Source organism: Homo sapiens, chromosome X, assembly GCF_000001405.40.
Source record: "Homo sapiens chromosome X, GRCh38.p14 Primary Assembly".
In the NCBI taxonomy this organism is placed as follows: Eukaryota; Metazoa; Chordata; class Mammalia; order Primates; family Hominidae; genus Homo; species Homo sapiens.
In genome coordinates this window covers 9,668,630-9,687,209 of record NC_000023.11, presented here as the reverse complement: position 1 = coordinate 9,687,209, position 18,580 = coordinate 9,668,630, and the positions used below count along the sequence as shown (strand labels likewise).

Genomic DNA, 18,580 nt, shown 5'->3' with positions numbered 1-18,580 from the left:
ATTTCCGTTTACCATGGAAAACTTTCCACACACGTTTAAAAATACAGCAGGAGGTTCTTTCCTTGTGAAACACGCCAGATATTCGAATCAGGTGAACCTCAGTAAGCCTTGGGGTTGTATCTGGATGTGCAAACACATGTTTATATGCTCTGAACCTGAATTACTTCAGAAGTGAGGAAGAACTGAAAGGCTCAGGTTTCAGCTGAAGAATAACTAAATGAAACATCACTCCAGATGATTTCTGATTACAAGACAATATTCAAAATAAAGAAAACAATACAACCTATGTAAAGAACTAGCTGCATCACCTCCTCAGGCACTCTTGGCCCTTGATTCTGGCCATGGAGTGGACAATGGTGACCGATGGGTCAAGACGCTCCCACACCCCCTTCCTCCTTCATATGTTCACACCCAAATGAACAAGCCCATGACAAAACGCGGTAACTGTCCAAAGTAGTAACAACATGTCCTCATTTAAACTCCGCGGGCACACTGTCTCTCTTTTTTCCTTAGAGACGGGGTCTCGCTCTGTCATCCAGGCTGGAGTGCAGGGGCACAGTCATGGCTCACTGCAGCCTCAAACTCCTGGACCAAACTGATCTTCCTGCCTTAGCCTCCGAGTAGCTGGGGTTACGAGCATGTGCCACTGCACCTGGCTAATTTTTTTTATTTTATGTAGAGATAGGGTCTCATTATATTGGCCAGGCTGGTCTAGAACTTCTGGCCTCAGGCAACCCTCCTGCCTTGGCTTCCCAAAGTGCTGCGATTACAGATGTGTGCTACCGCCCCTGGCGTCTCACTTTTTAATGATTAGAAACCATTGTGACAAATGGGACAGTCTTTCATTAGCCCCTAGAGTGCTGGAATCTGGAGTGCCGAGGGAAGGCAACTATGAAGGCTTCTCAACAGATGAGAGGTAGAAGGCAATGAGCAGAGAAAAACAGAGTCACAGGCGCCTTGAGATCTGATGGCTGGCTGGACCTTGGAGACATGTCCTCTTAGATACACACGTGTGTGTTTTGCAGTGAGGAAACTAGACAGGGCCAGAAGGAGTCAGTGGAAGATCCCGGGCACACAGTGTGAAGGGGTTTGCCAGGGAAAAAGGAGCACAAGAGAGGAAAAAACACCGGAGTTTCGAAAGCCACAGCTTTGCGAAAAATGGCAGGCAGAAGTGCAAGAAAGAAAACAGGGACTGGGTACAGTGGCTCACGCCTGTACTCCCAGCACTTTGGGAGGCCAAGGCGGGAGGATCGCGGGAGGATCGCTTGAGCCCAGGAGTTCAAGACCAGCGAGACCTCATCTCTACAAAAAATAAAAAAATTATCTGGACGTGGTGGTGTGTACCTATAAGTTCCAGCTGCTCAGGAGGCTGAGGCAGGAGGATCTTTTGAGCCAGGAGGTTGAGGCTGTAGTGAGCTATGATTGTACCACTGTACTCCCACCTGGGTGACAGAGAGAGACCCTGTCTTAAAAAAAAAAAAAAAAAAAAAAAGAAAAGAAAAGAAAAAGAGAACAGGATATTATTACTTTGTGATTTTCTAAAAGAGTTTTTTAAAGCAGTGTAACATGCTGTGAAGGAGAAAGGTTTGTAAGGGCAAGACCAGTTCCCAGAAAGACGGGACAGAGGGAATCCTGGAAGAATGTGACTGCCAGGTGGGATGGATGACGGTACAGTATGGAAAAGTTCAGTAGAATCACGCGCCTGGGTCAGAGTAGGAGAAAGAGAAGCAGAGGGAGGAAGCTGCAGGGGACTGAGAAATCAGTAACAGGGACTGTCTGTGGTCCCAGTGCTTTGGGAGGCTGAGACAGGAGGATCACTTGAGCCCAGGAGGTCGAGGCTGCAGTAAGCCATGACTGTGCCACTGCACCCTAGCCTGGGCAACAGTGTGAGACTCAGTCTCTAAAAATAAAATAGGGACTCAGGTGAAGGCGGCAAGAAAGGTTGTGGATCCCATTATTCCCCAGAAGTCAAGGGGATCTTCACTGCAGAATCATGAGACCAGAATAGGAGGGGACAAGAGAGGGTGAGGTGTGTGGTTTAAAACCAAAATTGGTATAAAATTGGCACAACTCCTCACTGTGGACCAATGTAAAAAGTGGGAGGGGTTCCAAGCCAAGTGCACAGTTTTAATGTGCATTTATTTTTCCATCCTCCTACCCCATCTGCTCTACAACGAGCCCGGTAATGAAGGCATCCCTTGAGATCCTCATTAACACCAGAGCCATCACCTCTCTGCCCTGACGCAGCCTCTGGTGATGCCCTCTGCCGGGTTCTGCTGAAATACAGATTCCACCTGACCATGTGTGGGGCCCCTCTCTAACCAACCTGCTCCAGAAATCAAGAAGAGACAGCAAGTCTGCATTAAGTGCAAGGCAAACGTCCACTCCGAAGCCCAGAGCAGCTGAAGATCTGCCGTATCTTTTTCAGATGTGGCGGTGTAAGTGTTTACATCAACTAACAGCCAGTGATTCTACATTTAAGTCAAAAACACAGAGCCATGTGGGAGGGGCACTGGAAGCTTGCTGCTGTGTGTCCACACAACCGGTATTAACACAAAGTGGAAAAGAACCCAACTTACTTTCTTCTTCTTCCTTTTTTTTTTTTTTTTTTAATTTTAGAGATGGAGTCTCACTGCATTGCCCAGGCTGGAGTGTACTGGTGCAATTATAGCTTACTGCAGCCTCAACCTCTCAGGCTTAAGTGATCTGATCCTCTCACCTCAGCCTCCCGAGAGCTGGGGCTACAGGTGCGTACCACCACACTGGGCTAATTAAAAAATTGTTTTTTGTAGAAATGCTGTTACACCATGTTGTCCAGGCTGGTCTCAAACTCCTGGGGTCAAGTAGACTTCCTGCCTCGGCCTCCCAAAGTCCTGGGATTACAGGCATGAGCCACTGCACCCTGCCGCGGAATTAATCCCAAATGCCTGAGGGAAATGCATGTTAGCTTCCAATGTGTTCCAAGCTCCTGCAGCTTCCCAGGGCTCTGCTGTTTGGGGGCCGGGCCCAGCAGCTACGTACCTCGTTGATACTGATCTCGGCCTCTACATACTGCAGGCCCTTCTGGAGAATGGAGATGAGGGCGGCCGGTGGCACTAGCGTCCCATTGATGTTGGACTGGCTGATGTGGCTCTCAATCCCAAACGTGAAAGCCGAGTGGGAAAAACCTGTGGCAAGAGGGGAAAGCTGAGGTTGAGTGAGACCCGAATTGAAGGAGGGAGGTGCAGCCATTGAGATCTGAAGGTGGCCCGCAGACTTCAAACACACTTAATTTGCAGGGACAGACACGGCTGCAGAATGCCCAGGGATGCTTCTGATTTGGGTTCAGTAAGGTGGGAAAGGGCAGGGAGAGAGGGAGGGACTTCAGACCCAGGAAGACCAGGATTGGTATGTGATGAAACAAGGGACTTAAATGGTAGAACCGTTTCAGTGTTATTAAGAACAAAGCAGAACAGACAATAGTTTGCCCTGCATGCCCCGGTTGGACATTTCTGTTACTCAAATTTGGCTCCAGGCTCCCCACCAAAACTCCGTGGTTCGTAAGACTGTGCAGAAGCTCATGCTGAAGCCTCTCTGTGTCACCCCCTGAAAGCACACAGGGCACCTTTCTTCAGCCCAAGATGAGGGAACAGCAAACGCTGACCCTGAGTCCTCCTGGCACGCGGGGCAAGTGTATCACAACTCAACAACTGAAGACGGAGAAGAGGCCGTCCTGGACTGACTGGTGTGGCACTGAGTCATTTTCTCAAAACACTGGGAATTTTCTCTTTGCTAATTGATGCTGGCTCTTTTCCTCTCCTCCCCCAGTGCATCTCTTTCACTGCCGCTCTAGGAAGCTGCTATCAATGATGCTTGGCAATTTAAAGGTGTTTTCAGATCAGCTTTGGATGAAGGCTCTTGAATGAAGCTGTTGGGAAGGGGGTCAGGACCGAATACACAGAAAGCCATGCCTTGCTCTTGTGGATGGCGCCTGCTTCAAGGAAAGAAGGCAATGATGCAGGGCATCTATGTGGAGGTCTGGGGGTGATGAGGAAGCTGCGACAGCCCTTCATCAAGGAGAGAGAGGGAGGTGGCATCCCACTGCCAGCAAGCCTAGGCTGCTGCAGGGAGTTTCCTAAAACAGGCAACCCCGCCTGGCAGGGCTGGGTCACTTTGCTTGGTGCAGAGGCGGCCTGAGGGTGCACAGGAGCTTGAAATCCTTGGGAGGTGGACATCATGGGGGGATCTCGTGTGAGGAACATGGACCCCCAGTGCTCGGTTCCTGGCAACAGGTGGGGTGGACACCAAGGCATTCCCATGGTGTGGCTTTCAACTCTCACACTGTTTACAACTTCCATGCATGAGGCAAATGAGCAGGAAGCAGGGAGTTCGGAAAGCAGCCACTCTACCTCCCTGGTTAGACCACTCTGCAGGCTGAGAATCTGCTTATCCCAGGAGGCAGGACTGTCAGCCTTGCTGGACAGGTGCTCCTCTTCCGCCGCCTTTCATTCAGCCAATGAGGGGCAGTGGCAGCCGGCTTCCCTCTGCTTCCGTATCAGTGCCCTTCTGCCTCGCCTTATCCAAATGCAAACTGACCTTGCAATAAACAAAACGCTCACCAGATGGGAATGTTCCTCCAGGAGACGAGCTCTGCGCTGTGCTCTCCTTGCTGCTTTCTTACACTTCACTTTTCTCTGTCTACTCTCCCTCCTCCTCAATCCACCCTCTGTTCTGTCCCCACCGCCAGGTTGTAAAGAACATATCAAATGTGTAGTTGAGATTTATCTAACAGAGTAATAGGGTAGCTGCTATTAATTTTACAATCAATTGCACAGAGCCTTGCATATTTCTTTACAGAACTATAACTGCCTACATTAGGTTCCAAAGGACGCCCTTCCAGGTTCCCCTATCCCCAAGGGTTCCTCCGCCCCTGTGTTTTTGGAGGATATAAGCCAAGGCTGTTTACAACAACCTTACCTTTTCCTTCTAACTTGCTTTCTCTCTATCCACCTTCCTTTTCTCCTACCCACTCCTACCAAAATGAAGCAACCCACCCTTGGGTTCACCAACGACTCTATTCTCTGCCAATGCTATACAGAGTTTTACCTGCAAGCTTTTATCATTGAGGTCTTTGGCAAAGTGTGGAAGAGAAAAACCCCAGTCAATGGATAAAGCGGGACCTCACTGCATTCTTGGCTTGACGATCCACTACATGGAATCTTCCTTATCTACTCTGGGCCACAGTGATTCCTCTCTCATAGACATCATGACTCTCACGGCTGATGGGGGCCACTCACGTGGCTCCTACTAAATGGCTTCAAGCTTCTCAGCATCATTCTGTCACTGCCGCTTTCCCCTTGATCAATCAGTCTCTGAGATCTTTTGAGGGTAACTGACAGCCTCCTGTTGCTCAGTTTGTAGGGGTGGGGCTGAGATCTAAGCCTGGGTGCCAGAAACCACTCTTAGCCACCATGAAACAGTATCTAGAAACATCTACTGAATGCACCAGAATGCAGCATTATGTGCTGATGACGGCACCTGACAAGCAAACCTCATGGCTGATGGAGCAATTGTGGAAGGAAAGTCTCGTGCTCCTGGGACATTTCATTCATCCACTCTGACTCATTCATTCCCGCAAGCAGCACTGGGCCACAGAACTGGTACTTGCAGTCACATGCTCTGTGAAACAGAGCCGATTCTGACCACATTACCATCTTCAACCAAACCTGGGCACTCTGTCCACTACCTCAGTCTTTGTAGCAGCTGTTTGGAGTTGGTACTGTTTTTGTTTCACACATAAGGACAAACATTGGAGACATCAGGTAACCCGCCCAAGGATCATGTGATATGACGCTGAACTAAACTGTGAACCGTAGACTATGTGACTCCGAGATTCCGCTTTTTACTTTACACTCCAAGACCCACCCACAAGCACAGGAACCAAAATTCTTGAATTCCCTGCATGGACACAGACTCCATTTCCACCTGGCTGCTCAGCTAGACCACTGGCAGCTCTGGACAGCAGCCAGCGTGGGTGCAGCTCAGGCAACTCACAAAGAACGGTGTGCAAAGCTCAGTCTAACCCACGGAGGGAGTGTGCCCTTGATTTCTCTCTCATCTGGGTTTTTAATGTTGAGTACATGTTTTGGCTGTATAACTTTATCTCTCTACATGATTATGCTCTCCAACACAGATTTCATTTCTAGATCGTGTGGACAACAGTATCCACATTCAATTAAGTCTTCTTGGAACAAAGAGATGAACCAGTAAAGATGGACTAAGGATGTGGCGTCTGAGACTTCTGCAAAGAGCTGAAAGTCGTCTGCCGAAAGGAATATCCTGTGCAGATGCACAATGACAAATGTGCAGGATAAAGTTCTACAGGGGTACCTCGAAGGTCTTTCATCAGCTTGGGTCCTCTTTTGGAGAGGGTAGGTCATGACTGGAAATTAGGCACCTTCATAAAGACCTGGGAGATGTGCATTCCATGCCATGGTTAACAGAAGTCCTCCTATTTGCTGAAATTTTCACTAGCTGCATTTCTCTGAATGGATCTCTACATGGCCTCTAGAGCAATGGTTTTTCAGTCCATTTGCTTGCAAGATTTTCTTACTGATTTCTGGCCATGTGGTCTCATGAAGGCAAGCAGGAGGGCTGGATGGAGAAAATGTCAGCAGCAGGCAGGATGGCTGGGTTCTGTCCTCGTTCTGCCACTGGTGCCTGGCCCATGTCGCTTCATTTGGCTGGGCCTGCATTTCCTCCTCTGTGATATAGGGATAAAAAGTACCTTGAGGTGCTGATGAGACACATAGATGGGACAGCAGCCAGACCCCCAACACATTTGATGGAGAGGAGACCACAGTGAGTGGAAAGGTTGCTGTCCCAGCTTTCCTTGTTGGAACAATAAGGATGTCAGATGAAATGGCTGCTAGGATATTTGCTAGTTCTGATATTCATTCTGGGACAGGAAGATGCCTGCTACGTTCTGAATGTTTGTGTCCCCCCCAGATTTGTATGTGGGAGACAAATCCCCAAAGTGACGGTATTAAGGGGTGGGGCCTTCAGGAAGCAATTAAATCATGAGGGATCCACTCTCGTGAATGGGATCAGTGTCCCTATAAAAGAGGCTCAAGCAAGCTCCCCTGCACCTTCCACCATGTGAAGACACAGAAGGAGCCATCCATGTGAAACAGGACCTCACCAGACACCAAATCTGCTGGCGTCTTGATCTTGGACTTCCCAGCCTCCAGGACTGTGAGCAATACACTTTGGTTGTATATAAATTACCCAGTCTAAGGTGTTGGTTATAGCCCATACTAACTAAGACAATGCCCAAGGACTATGTACTAGAGGCTGCTTGACCACTTCCTCTTAGGCCACAGTTGCCAGAACCAGGTGCCAGGGTGCTGCGGAAGGTAATGCCTGCCTCCACACCTGCCAGCATCTCACCCCTCCCACTTGGACTCCAGGGCTAATGGGCACATTCATATGCAGTCTGCCAGAGTGGTGAGACTTCGGTGCCTTGTGCCTCCTCAGCTTTCCCGCATCTCTGAACACATCTCTTCTGCCCAACAAGACATCCGTAGGAACAAAGACCAGAATGTCAATGATAAACGAAGCACCAAGGACTGCCCCTGCGGCAGGTGCAGAAGTAGTTAAAGGGCAGGAGAACAAAGAGCTTGGTGGTACCTCGATGAAAGATCGTGTGAGGGTGATGGGTTAGTGTCCTTGGTGTCACCAGTAGGCTAGCCTAGAGACATTCCTGAAGACGCTAGGCTTGCCACCTACTTAGGAGGCGTATTCCTGATGAATCTCTTGACAGCAGGGCTTCTCAAGCACAGCATGGCTGACTTTTAGGCTGGCTCATTCCTTGCTGTGGGGGACACAGTCCCATGCATTGTACGATGTTGAGCAGCACCCCCGGCCTCTACCCACTAGATGCCAGTAGCACACTCCCATTGTAACAACCAAAAATGTTTCCAATATTGTCCCATCAACCCCACCATGGTTGGGGAATTGACACCCTGAAAGGCCACTACCCCCAGCTCTACTCTCCTTACATTTCTGCTTGGTTCTTGGTTGTTGCTATTGAAAAGCAAGCCACCCTCTGCATGCAATTGGTCATAGACCTTAGATAACATAACACACAGTAACAGAGCATAACCAGATGAGGTAAAATTATTCCCAGGGAGAAAAAAAAGAGTATAATCATGATAAACTGAAAGGCTTACACAAAGGATGACATTTTATAAAGGATGGTAGGATCTTCCATGTAAAGTCCTGTCCATTTGGAATAAAACGTGTAATAGTCTCACAAGAGAGGAAACAGTCTGTATAAGAATTTGTCTCATCTAACTAGGCAACATAAACATTTAAAACAAACCAAGTACATGTATTGCGTTTCTTGCAATTATGACACTGCTAAACCACACCCCTCACAAATGACTTCACAAACCATTTGAGTTATACAGTGTACTACTATGCTCAGCTAATGTTGGCCTGATTCATCAGCAAAATCTGCTAAGTTATCAATCACTGGCCTTTAGAAATACTGCTTATTTGGCAGAGAAAAGTAGAATTTAATACTCAGGCAGCTGTGGAGTTGGTTTTGCATCTTCAGCTAAAACAAATACCAAGGGTATCAATTTGTAACATTAAAACTGGAATTTTTATTAAGTATTTAACAGACTCACATACTTGTAATACTTACAGCTATCCAAAGCTGAGGGACACCATCTGCTATCTGTGCATTGCCTAGATCATGGGCTTGCAAACTGAGGCCCACAGACCAAGTCTGGCTCACTGCCAGTGTGTGTAAATAAAGTTTTATTGAGATACAACCACACCCATGAGTTGATGTGTTGTCTATGGCTATTTTCACACTACAATGGGAGAGTTGAGTAGGTGCAACAGAGACCACATGGCTCATAAAGCTGAGGATATTTACTATCTGCTCCTCTACAGGAAAAGTGTGCTGACCTGATTTTATATACAGTTGACTCTCCATATCCGATAGTTCTGCGTCCACCAAATCAACCAACCACAGATCAAAAATATCCAGAAAAAAACAACAAAAAACAATATGATGATAATAATACGAATAAAAAACCACTGCAATATAACAAACACACTTTACTTCAGCCTGGGAGACAAAGTGATACACCAGTCTTGAGAGCAAAGGAAAGAAACAGAAGAGAAGAAAGAAGGAAGGACCATATTGGATGCAATGACATAAGAATTTGGTACCATTTCTTAGGCTTATGGGGAGAACACATTTAACCAGGTGCTCCAAGGCCTGGATCTGCCCCCTAACAGTTTCCCCAGCTCCCTTTTCTGACCCATGGACAGGTGGAATTCAATGATCTACAAGGTCCCTTTCAATTCTAAAATCCTATGTAGAGAAAATAAATTACCTTACAGTGCCAACAAAACCTGAAGGGTTTTAATTTATGGAGGTGACTGAGTGACAACACAAAGAGGCTAATGCCATTGAAAGAATTTATTACTCAGTTCCCAAGGAAGGGAGTATGCTGGGGCGTGCCACACCATGCCACACAGGGCAACAAGAAACCTTATCACACACAGGGACCGAGAAGCTGAGAAAGAGAGAGGGAGGAACTAGGAGTGTACCTTTATGACTACAGTAGTCGGGGAGTAAAGGGGTGGGGATATCCCTTATTGGATAGGAAGTGAAAATACATGTCAGAATTTGTGGCTGGGAGTTTCATAATATGATTTTGGCACGCCTGCAAAAGCCACCTTATGAGAGGTAAACAACTTTGGTTGTTGGTCTAGCTCTATGATCAATGGATACCAAACAGCCACTGGTTAACACACTTGTCCAATCTAGTAGGCTAAAGAGAAGGGGTTTTACAATACAGTCATTATGAAACCAAAACGTATATGTAGCACTTCCTTTTGTTTCTGCAAATGCTGACAGTTTTCCAACCTCCTTATTCATAGCGGAGTCAGCACAGCTTCTCCTCAGTCAATATTTCCTGGATCATAAAGGTTTCTCCAGCAGGACTGCAGCTGCCTGGAAAGCTGCCCACTTTCCTCTCAGTGCTGGGACAAGGTGGTGGAGGTGGGGAGGGTGTGATAAAAATAAAGATGCGAGAGAGGCCAAGGATGAGGAAGTGGGAGCCGGGATGAAAAATCAAATGGTGAAGAAAACACAGACACACACGCACACTCTCACGGAGTTAGGAACAGTAAACAGAAAAGGCGAGGGAATTAGAAATCCTATCTTCATCTGTGGGGCGAATTCACTACCAGTTCCCTTCACTTCAACAATGATGGATTAGTCTCACCAGAGGATTACATTTTCTGCCCAAGAAGCAGTTCTTATCATATGTAAACTCCAATTACATCCATGGTAAAAAGAAAAAAAAATATGCTGGGGAGAATTCTTTTTGCCTTTGCAGTCTATATCACTGAACGTGTTCATATCAGCTTTCCATTTTAATGTGTTTATATGAAAAAAACCCTCAAGGCCCAGTCCTCAACTCCCATCCTAACCTCCAACAACATTTTGCTACAGAAAACAGAGTGCAGTGAGAACATTTTTATGCGCTGCAGACCTGTTTGAGATGACCCACCATAACATGGAATTTAGCGTAAAATGAAGCTGCCTCGGACGGCGTCCAAAAGAAATACCAGAAGGATCTCGTTAAAATACGGTTTTGCCATAACATCTGGCCTGGACCCCAAGGGTGGTGGCTGAATACAGCTCAGGCCGCTGACAAGCGCAGACCAGGCACCCTTGCCAAGACTATTTTCATATCCTCTAGATGTGGGGAGCATCCAGGAGGGAAAAGCATTACTCAGGCCATAAACTCATGTGGCTACTTCCTCCCAGGGCAATGGCGGGCTAGGACAACGAGACAACCTTGGACGGGCCTCGGCTAGGGTAGGGGGTGCTGCTTCCTGGAAATGCTCACAGAGAATTGTAGTGGAGGTGATGCCAGGAGAAGCCTCAGCTCCTGCTGCAAGTCAGCTACTAGGAAGAGCTAGGTGCAGAGACGCTCATGTCCTCCAGCCCTACAGTGTGGTCTCCAGCACCTTGGAACACTCATGAATTCTGGATTCAATATTTGGAAATTGGAAGACAGCATGAATGCTAAACCAGAGATTTACGACGGATAGCACCATTGCAAATCACACTCAAACAAAAGTCAAGATATGACTTTGGGAATATAAGAGAAAGCAATTTGGAAGATGGAGAAATTAACTCACATTGTTAAACAATCAACACAACTCCTGTTCTCACATTGGGGGATTTCTTCCAGTCCCTTTTCTCTATGTATCTTAATTACTTTCTTCTTTTTTTTTTTTTTTTTGAGACAGAGTTGCATTCTTGTCACCCAGGCTGGAGTGCAATGGCATGATCTCGGCTCACTGCAACCTCCGCCTCGCAGGTTCAAGCGATTCTCCTGCCTCAGCCTCTCGAATAGCTGGGATTACAGGCGCATGCCACCACGCCCAGGTAATTTTTGTATTTTTAGTAGAAATGGGGTTTCATTTCATGTTAGCCAGGCTGGTCTCGAACTCCTGACCTCAGGTGATCCACCTGCCTCGGCCTCCCAAAGTGCTGGGATTACTTGCTGGGCGTGAGCTACCGCGCCTGGCCTGTGCGTCTTAATTTCTATGTATAATCATCATGGTCACAGAATATTGTATCCCTGTTCTCTTTTACCTAGCACACTATAAGCATTTTCCCTGGTTGCTGGTTGGTTTTGACAGCCACCTCTGTGGTTACTAATTTTTCACCAAGCAGGCAGGTCATCCTTTACTCACACTACATCCAGTTTTATCTTTCAACAATGAATCAACGGCTTCTAACTGGACAGGTTCCCGTGTCTCAGCTGGTGTTAATGTGCCACTAACCCTACTTGCCAGCATCTTTTCCTCCTTCCTGCCATCATGTGTCCTAGGTCCGCATCACCAAGATGGCGCATTCTCCTCAAAAATGCTGGGGTTTGCTCTTTATTTTTCTTGAAGTGCTCTTCTTACTTTGCCTAAAAACTTCTGGTTCAAATCCAGCTCAGATAGCACTCTATGCCCTTTCTCAAGCTGCTGGAGAAAAGGTGACAACTGCTGCATTCAAGTACTCTCTTGTGGCCTCCACATTTCTGACGGTACTCAAAATAATTTTAAGTAGCGTGAGGGCAAATGTTTGAAATTTAATAGCTATTTAAATGTATGTTATGCGAACAATAGAACTAAATGAAACTCGTAAACTAACAGGTATTGGTATATCTAATAAAAAGCAACTGTTTCAATTTAAGAAAATACTCCAGGTGTATGCAAATATGGTGAAAATTCAGATAACGAGCAAAGAACTAAGATTGGCACTGGGTGTGGTGGCTTATGCCTGTAATCCCAGCACTTTGCAAGGTCGAGGTGGAAGGATCATTTGAAGCCAGGGGTTCAACACCAGACTGGGCAACAAAATGAGACCCCATCTTTACAAAAAATAAAAATAATTAGTTGAGTGTGGTGGCCCGTGCCTGCACTCACAGCTACTGGGGGGGGGGGGGGGGGGGGGGGGCTGAGGCGGGAGGATCATTTGTGCCCAGGAGGCTGAGGCTACGGTGAGCCATGATTGTGCCACTGCACTCCAGCCTGGCCAACAGAGAGAGACTCTGTCTTTAAAAAACAATAAATAGGTCAGGCGCAGTGACTCACACTTGTAATCCCAGCACTTTTTTGGAGGCGAAGGTGGGTGAATCGCTTGAGCCCAGGAGTTCGAGACTAGTCTGGGCAACATGGTGAAACACTGCCACTATAAAAACTACGAAAAATTAGCTGGGTGTGGTAGCACATTCCTGTGGTCCCAGCTACTTGGGGAGACTGAGGTGGGAGGACTGCTTGAGCCCAGGAGGCTGAGGCTGCAGTGAGGCAAGATCATGCCACTGCATTCCAGCCTGGGCAATGCAGTGAGACCCTGTCCCACACATGAAATATATATCGGGCGGGGGGAGGAGGGCAGGCAGCCCCTTCTCTGCTGCGCTGCTCATTGCAACCTTAATTCATATTTTCATACTTGCTCTAATAAAACTGCCACTTTTAAAAATTAAAAATATATGTATTATCTTAATTGTTGTATTGTTATTTTTGTTTTTTCCAATGTATTATTTTTCCAATTTATTATTATTATTATTTCTGAGAAAGAATTTCGCTCATTGCCCAGGCTGGAGTGCAAGTGCACGATCTCAGCTCACTGCAACCTCTGCCTCCCGGGTTCAAGTGATTCTCCTGCCTCAGCCTCCCAAGTAACTGGGATTACAGGCATGCACCACTATGCCCAGCTAATTTTGTAGTTTTAGTAGAGATGGGGTTTCACTATGTTGGACAGGCTGGTCTCAAACTCCTGACCTCAGGTGATCCACCCACCTCGGCCTCCCAAAGTGCTGGGATTACTACAGGCGTGAGCCACCGCACCTAGCCCCCAATTTATTTTTGAGTCACAGTTGGTTGAATTTGTGGATGGGGAACCTGAGGATATGGAGGGCCAACTGTATTTGAAAGCATCACGTAGCACATGATAGCTATATATACATATATACATATGCATCTATAGGTAGATATAGATACACATATATAATTTTTATTACATTATTTTCAATGAATGTTGAATAAATGAAAAAATGAGAAAGATTCCAAAGCCAGATGGATGGTGTTCTGAATCCCAGCTGTATGACCTCCTTGAAGTGACTTGGGTAGGCCAGGACCTTCTCAGTACCTTGGGTTTCTCATCTGTAAATGAGGATGGAGCTGTTTCTACTTCCTAGGGATTGGTAGGAATAAACAGTTTCATCTGTCAATATTTAGAATCATGCCTGGCACACAGCAAGTGCTTGACAAATGTGAGATATTGTTACTACAACAAAACAGTGATGGGGGGATAGAGGTAACACTGACAAGGGTAGGATATCTGGGTGCCAGGTGGTGGGGAGGGAACTGAAGACAAGGAGGCAGTAGGAAAGATAACATGGAAAAAAATGTTTGAACACAATCCTGATGTTTTTCTACTAAACAGTGCTAATTCTGAATGCTTCTCTCCGCCCTTCTAAATTCATATATTGAAATCTAACCCCCAAGGGGATGGCATTAGGAGGTGGGGCCTTTGGGAGGTGATGAGGGTGGAGCCCTCATGAATGGGATGAGTGTCCTTATACAAGAGACCCCAGAGAGCTCCCTTGCCTCTTCCACCACGTGAGGACACAGGGAGAAGGCGCCATCTATGAACCAGGAAGCGGGTCCCCACCAGACACTGAATCTCCCACACCTTGATGTTGGACTCCCAGCCTGCAGAAATGTGAGAAAAAAATCTCTGTTGTTTATGGTATTTTGTCATAGCAGCTCGAATGGACTAAGGCAAAGAGTGACATAATCACAGGATAGAGGAAGCTTGTCTTTGAAGTGGACAGACTGTGGTAGGGAAATGGTGATGGTACCAAGTGTGGGTTTACATTAAAGAGTGCTCGTGAAGTGTCATTCAAAATATCAGTATGGATGGCAATGGAGAAGTTGGGGATACACACCGTGACTTGGAGGGGAGGAGTCACTGGAGAGATTGGGAGTGGACACTCAGACTTGGGGGATCAGCAGAGAGACTGGGGATGGGACTCAGACTTCAGGAGGAAGAGAGTGACATATTACTACAGGCACAGATGTGGGAGGGTAAAAAGAACATCATCTTGAGGACAGTAGTAGTTGAGAAGTGAACGGAGAAGGAGGCACCAGCAAAGGGATGTACAGAGACTTCGGGGAAGAGGGACAGTGTTGTGTCTGACAGTCCAGACAACTCGCTTGCTGTTCGGTCTGGAAAGCAAGAAAGGGAATAGAATTTGGCATAAAACATATCAATGCTGGGCACTTTTAAGGTCACAGTAGAATTTCAGAGCAGGCAAGTCTTGAATGTAACGGTGAATAAACTCGGAAGACAGGCACCTTGGTGAGTGGCTATTTCATCTTATCTAAAACAGGAAATGTGGACTCTCTTAGACATTTTCACATCGTCACCAATTTTTAAAGTAGGAAGTGAAATTTAAGGCTTATGTGCATCTTCAACAGAATCTGACCATTTTTGTGGGTGTCAATACCAATGGAGAATTTTTGACTACACTGAACAAGATGTATACTTAAACAACTGTAATTTATAAATACTCAACTGATTTTCATTCTAATTGCTTTTTCTCCCTGTAACAAATTAATGAGCATAAGAATGGCAAGTCTTAATTTAGAACAATAAACTTAGAAAAGATCGTACAACTGAAACTGCACTGGAACCAGGAGAGTGGAATGGTTATGAACATCTGGAATGTAAGAACTTCTGGATTCCTGCATTTTGCTACTGTAAATGGTTATAATCACACCAAGAGAACAGTTTAGCAAAACAGTCTTTTCAAACAGTTTGTTTGCAACTAGCACAGTTATGAGAGGGTTGGTAATTGAACAATTAGCCCCTTCATAACCTCCCATGTGAGCAGAGGCTCTGCAAACCTACACCACTGTATTTAGCAAAGGGAGAATGGACATACTTGGTGGAGGAGGATCAATTGTTCATGCCACACAGCTGGCCAGGGTGATGTGCTATTCTTTTCTATATGAAAGGCCTGGGTATCACGTTCTCCAGCTACTTACCCACTCCTACACATTCTTAGAAATTAGTTTTTATCATTGACATCTAACAAATGCATAAATGCACCAACGACAGATACAGAACCTCACCCAGATTTCCATGTGGCCTGGGCCTGAAGTGGTGTGGATAGCCTTGTATTCTCCTATTTTCCTTCTGAACCCCTCGGCATGGGCCGCATGCCCACAGGAATGGCCCCCAAATAAAAACCCTGAGCGCCAAGGTTCAGGTGAGCTTCCCTGGCTGGCCACTCTCCCGCACATGGCCAATCATATATTCTTCTGGGAGAATTAACAGCTTCTCTGTAACTCCACTGGGGGTGGCCACCTGCAAGGTTGTGCCTAGTTTCACCTGGACTTCGTGCCTTATGCCTTTTCCCCTTGCTGATTTTCATCTGTATTATTTCACTGTAATAAACCGTAAGTGTGGCAGGTACTGAGTCCTGTGAGCCCTTCCAGCAAACCACTGGGCCTGAGGGTGGTCTTGGGGGGTCCCAACATACCAGCAAAATGTGCTGCTCTCACTTAATGAGATCACATCAAAGCATGAGACATTACTGTTTTGCAGAGTTTCAGGGTACTTTCATCCTCTACTAATGTGGACATTTTATTCAGGTCTTCCTTATTTTATTATTTGATGAAACTAATGTTTTCCTTTATTATTCCTAAAGCAAAGACTGCCAACACCTCAAAGAAATGCTGGCCTTCACTGTTTCATAAAGATTCTTTTTTTAAACATGGATACACATTAGCAATGTAAAAGAGCCGCTGCAGTCAAAAAATATTTTTAGAGACTCAGCTGAACAATAAGCCCTGAACTTTTGTTTAAATTAAGATAGCTGAACCATTAAAATGATTTCCTGAATCCATGGAAACGTGTCTTGCATAAGAAGGCATTCCATGGCCCTAGGAAACACAGTGGAGTCTACAGAGTAATTTGTCAGCTGCTAGGATTACAGTGGGCAAAGCCACTTAATCATTTTTGTAGATGCAATTATTCACAAATATTAAGAGTAATGTAACCACCCAATGGATTCCCCTTGCCTGCTGCCTAGACAGAGCTGATTTATCAAGACAGGGGAATTGTAATAAAGAGTTTAATTCATGCAGAGCCGGCTGTACGGGAGACTGGAGTTTTATTAGTACTCAAATCAAGTCTCTCCGAAGGCTTAGAGATTAGGGTTTTTAAAGATAGTTTGGTGAGCAGTGGGGTGGGGTAGGGAGCATCCTGACTGGTTGGGTTGGAGATGAAATCATAGGGAATTGTAGCTGTCCTCTTATGCTGAGTCATTCCTCAGTAGGGGGGGCCACAGGACCGGTTGTTCGCAGGTCCAAGTGGGGCAATCTGGTTGTCAGAAATGCGAACACCTGAAAAGACATCTCAAAGGCCAATCTTAGGTTCTACAACAGTGATGCTATCTTCAAGGGGAAGATGCAAATCTTGACTGCCGGCATAATGGCAAATTATTATGGCATAATGGCATAATGGTAAATTATTTAGAATTCAAGCCCCTCTCATCCTAATTTGGTAGCCTTTCATTAGTTTTACAACAACATTTAGTTTGGGGGAAGGACTATTATCATTGAAACTATAAACTAAATTTTTCCCCCAGGTTAGCTTGGCCAGGAATGAGCAAAGACAGTCAACCTGTGAGCTAGAAGCAAGACAGTCAGCCAGGTCAGTTTTCTCTCACTGTCAACATGTTCTCAGTTATAATTTTTGCAAAGGTGGTTTCAATCCCTCCCTTTGGGTTTTATAACACCTTATTCTTAAGGTGTGGGCTATGAAGATGGAAAAAGAAGAGACGACTGCCCTAACTTCTTCCTGCTGACAGTGGGCATAGTGGGTGTAGCTGCAGACCCCAAGGTAAAAGGAGTGGAACCCCTTTGCAGCTGTCTGCATGTACTCACATGTGCCTGGTTGGGGTTTCAGGGCTTGCATGACAAAGGCATTAGGATGGTCATCTGTAGTTTTGGCACAGCATTGAAGTGAACAGTGAGCTATAAGGTCCTAGGATAAAGAGTGGAAGTCCTAGCTTCCGAAGCCTTTGTAGACTGGACCTTAAGCTCTGAGGGACCCAGGTGAACATCTCTGAGAACCAATCAGACATGGGGCGGCTAGCAGAGAGATTTGGGCCAGTGGTTGTTAGACAGACAGATTGGGATGGACAGGAAAGAACACATTTTACATATATCATCCCATATTCTTTTTAGGTCAGTTTCCTAGTCCTGAGACTAGATGTTTAATTAAACAGCTGTTTCCCATATCAGGAGGTGGCAATGCAGGTGGGTTAGGCCTCTTTCGTTATAGATGAGGCAGGCAGTGAAAATCTGAAACGTTTTTGTCGCCTATATTACGAGGAATAAGCTTCAGCTTGCAGGGCCTCAGGAACAAGGTAGTAGCATTTTACTGAGTCCAAGTTAGAAAAGTGGAAGAAAAATTTGAAAGCATTAGTTTGGGGACTTGTAGCCCACAAAGAATTCAGTGTTAACAGAAGATAATGAAAACTCAAGAAGTTTATAGTTTTTTGAAACATAATTTTTCTCTCTCTAGTCCCCATTTTTATTAAAGACAAATCATAGTAAGACAAATTTACTTGCAAAATAAGTCTTAGTCTTATTATGCTTGGACTGATTATTTGTATAAAGTGCAGCAAGAAGAATTATTTGCCATAATAGGCTCTTTCCTCCACCCAAGGTCTCAAGATAACTTGGGGCTCCCTAGGCCCGCCAGAAAATGACATTCTTTACTTACCACAAGTCAGGAACCCTGTACAGAAACCGCACAAGGTATGAGGCGTTTTCCTGAGGGGCTTTTGTTGGCTCTGTAAGTCAACTTTGATTCCTTAAAGCAGTCTGTTTATATTTGAATGCATGCCATTCCAGTCAAAGCCTTGGTAAAATAACCAGTGTTTCTAATTCTGTTCTGTTACAAAAGAGAACAGATTCTTACTGCACT

The 18,580-nt window shown here is 45.8% G+C and overlaps 1 protein-coding gene across 4 annotated transcripts in view, besides 1 other annotated feature; it reads right to left on the bottom strand.

Moving 5' to 3' along the window:
• The window catches only part of TBL1X (transducin beta like 1 X-linked), a 256,446-nt gene that overhangs the window by 32,531 nt on the left and 205,335 nt on the right, over window positions 1-18,580 (bottom strand). For all 4 annotated transcript variants that reach the window (NM_001139468.1, NM_001139466.1, NM_001139467.1 and 1 more), the window contains one exon: window positions 3,022-3,167. In NM_001139468.1, the coding sequence (NP_001132940.1) occupies window positions 3,022-3,167 (146 nt within the window). The remainder of the gene's footprint in view (window positions 1-3,021; window positions 3,168-18,580) is intronic.
• Window positions 4,266-4,766: an enhancer, noted in NCBI's record as "H3K4me1 hESC enhancer chrX:9650484-9650984 (GRCh37/hg19 assembly coordinates)". NCBI's record gives its function as "activates a minimal SCP1, AML or CMV promoter by ChIP-STARR-seq in naive H9 embryonic stem cells {active_cell/tissue: H9 hESC(naive)}" and the evidence as "EXISTENCE:reporter gene assay evidence [ECO:0000049][PMID:30033119]".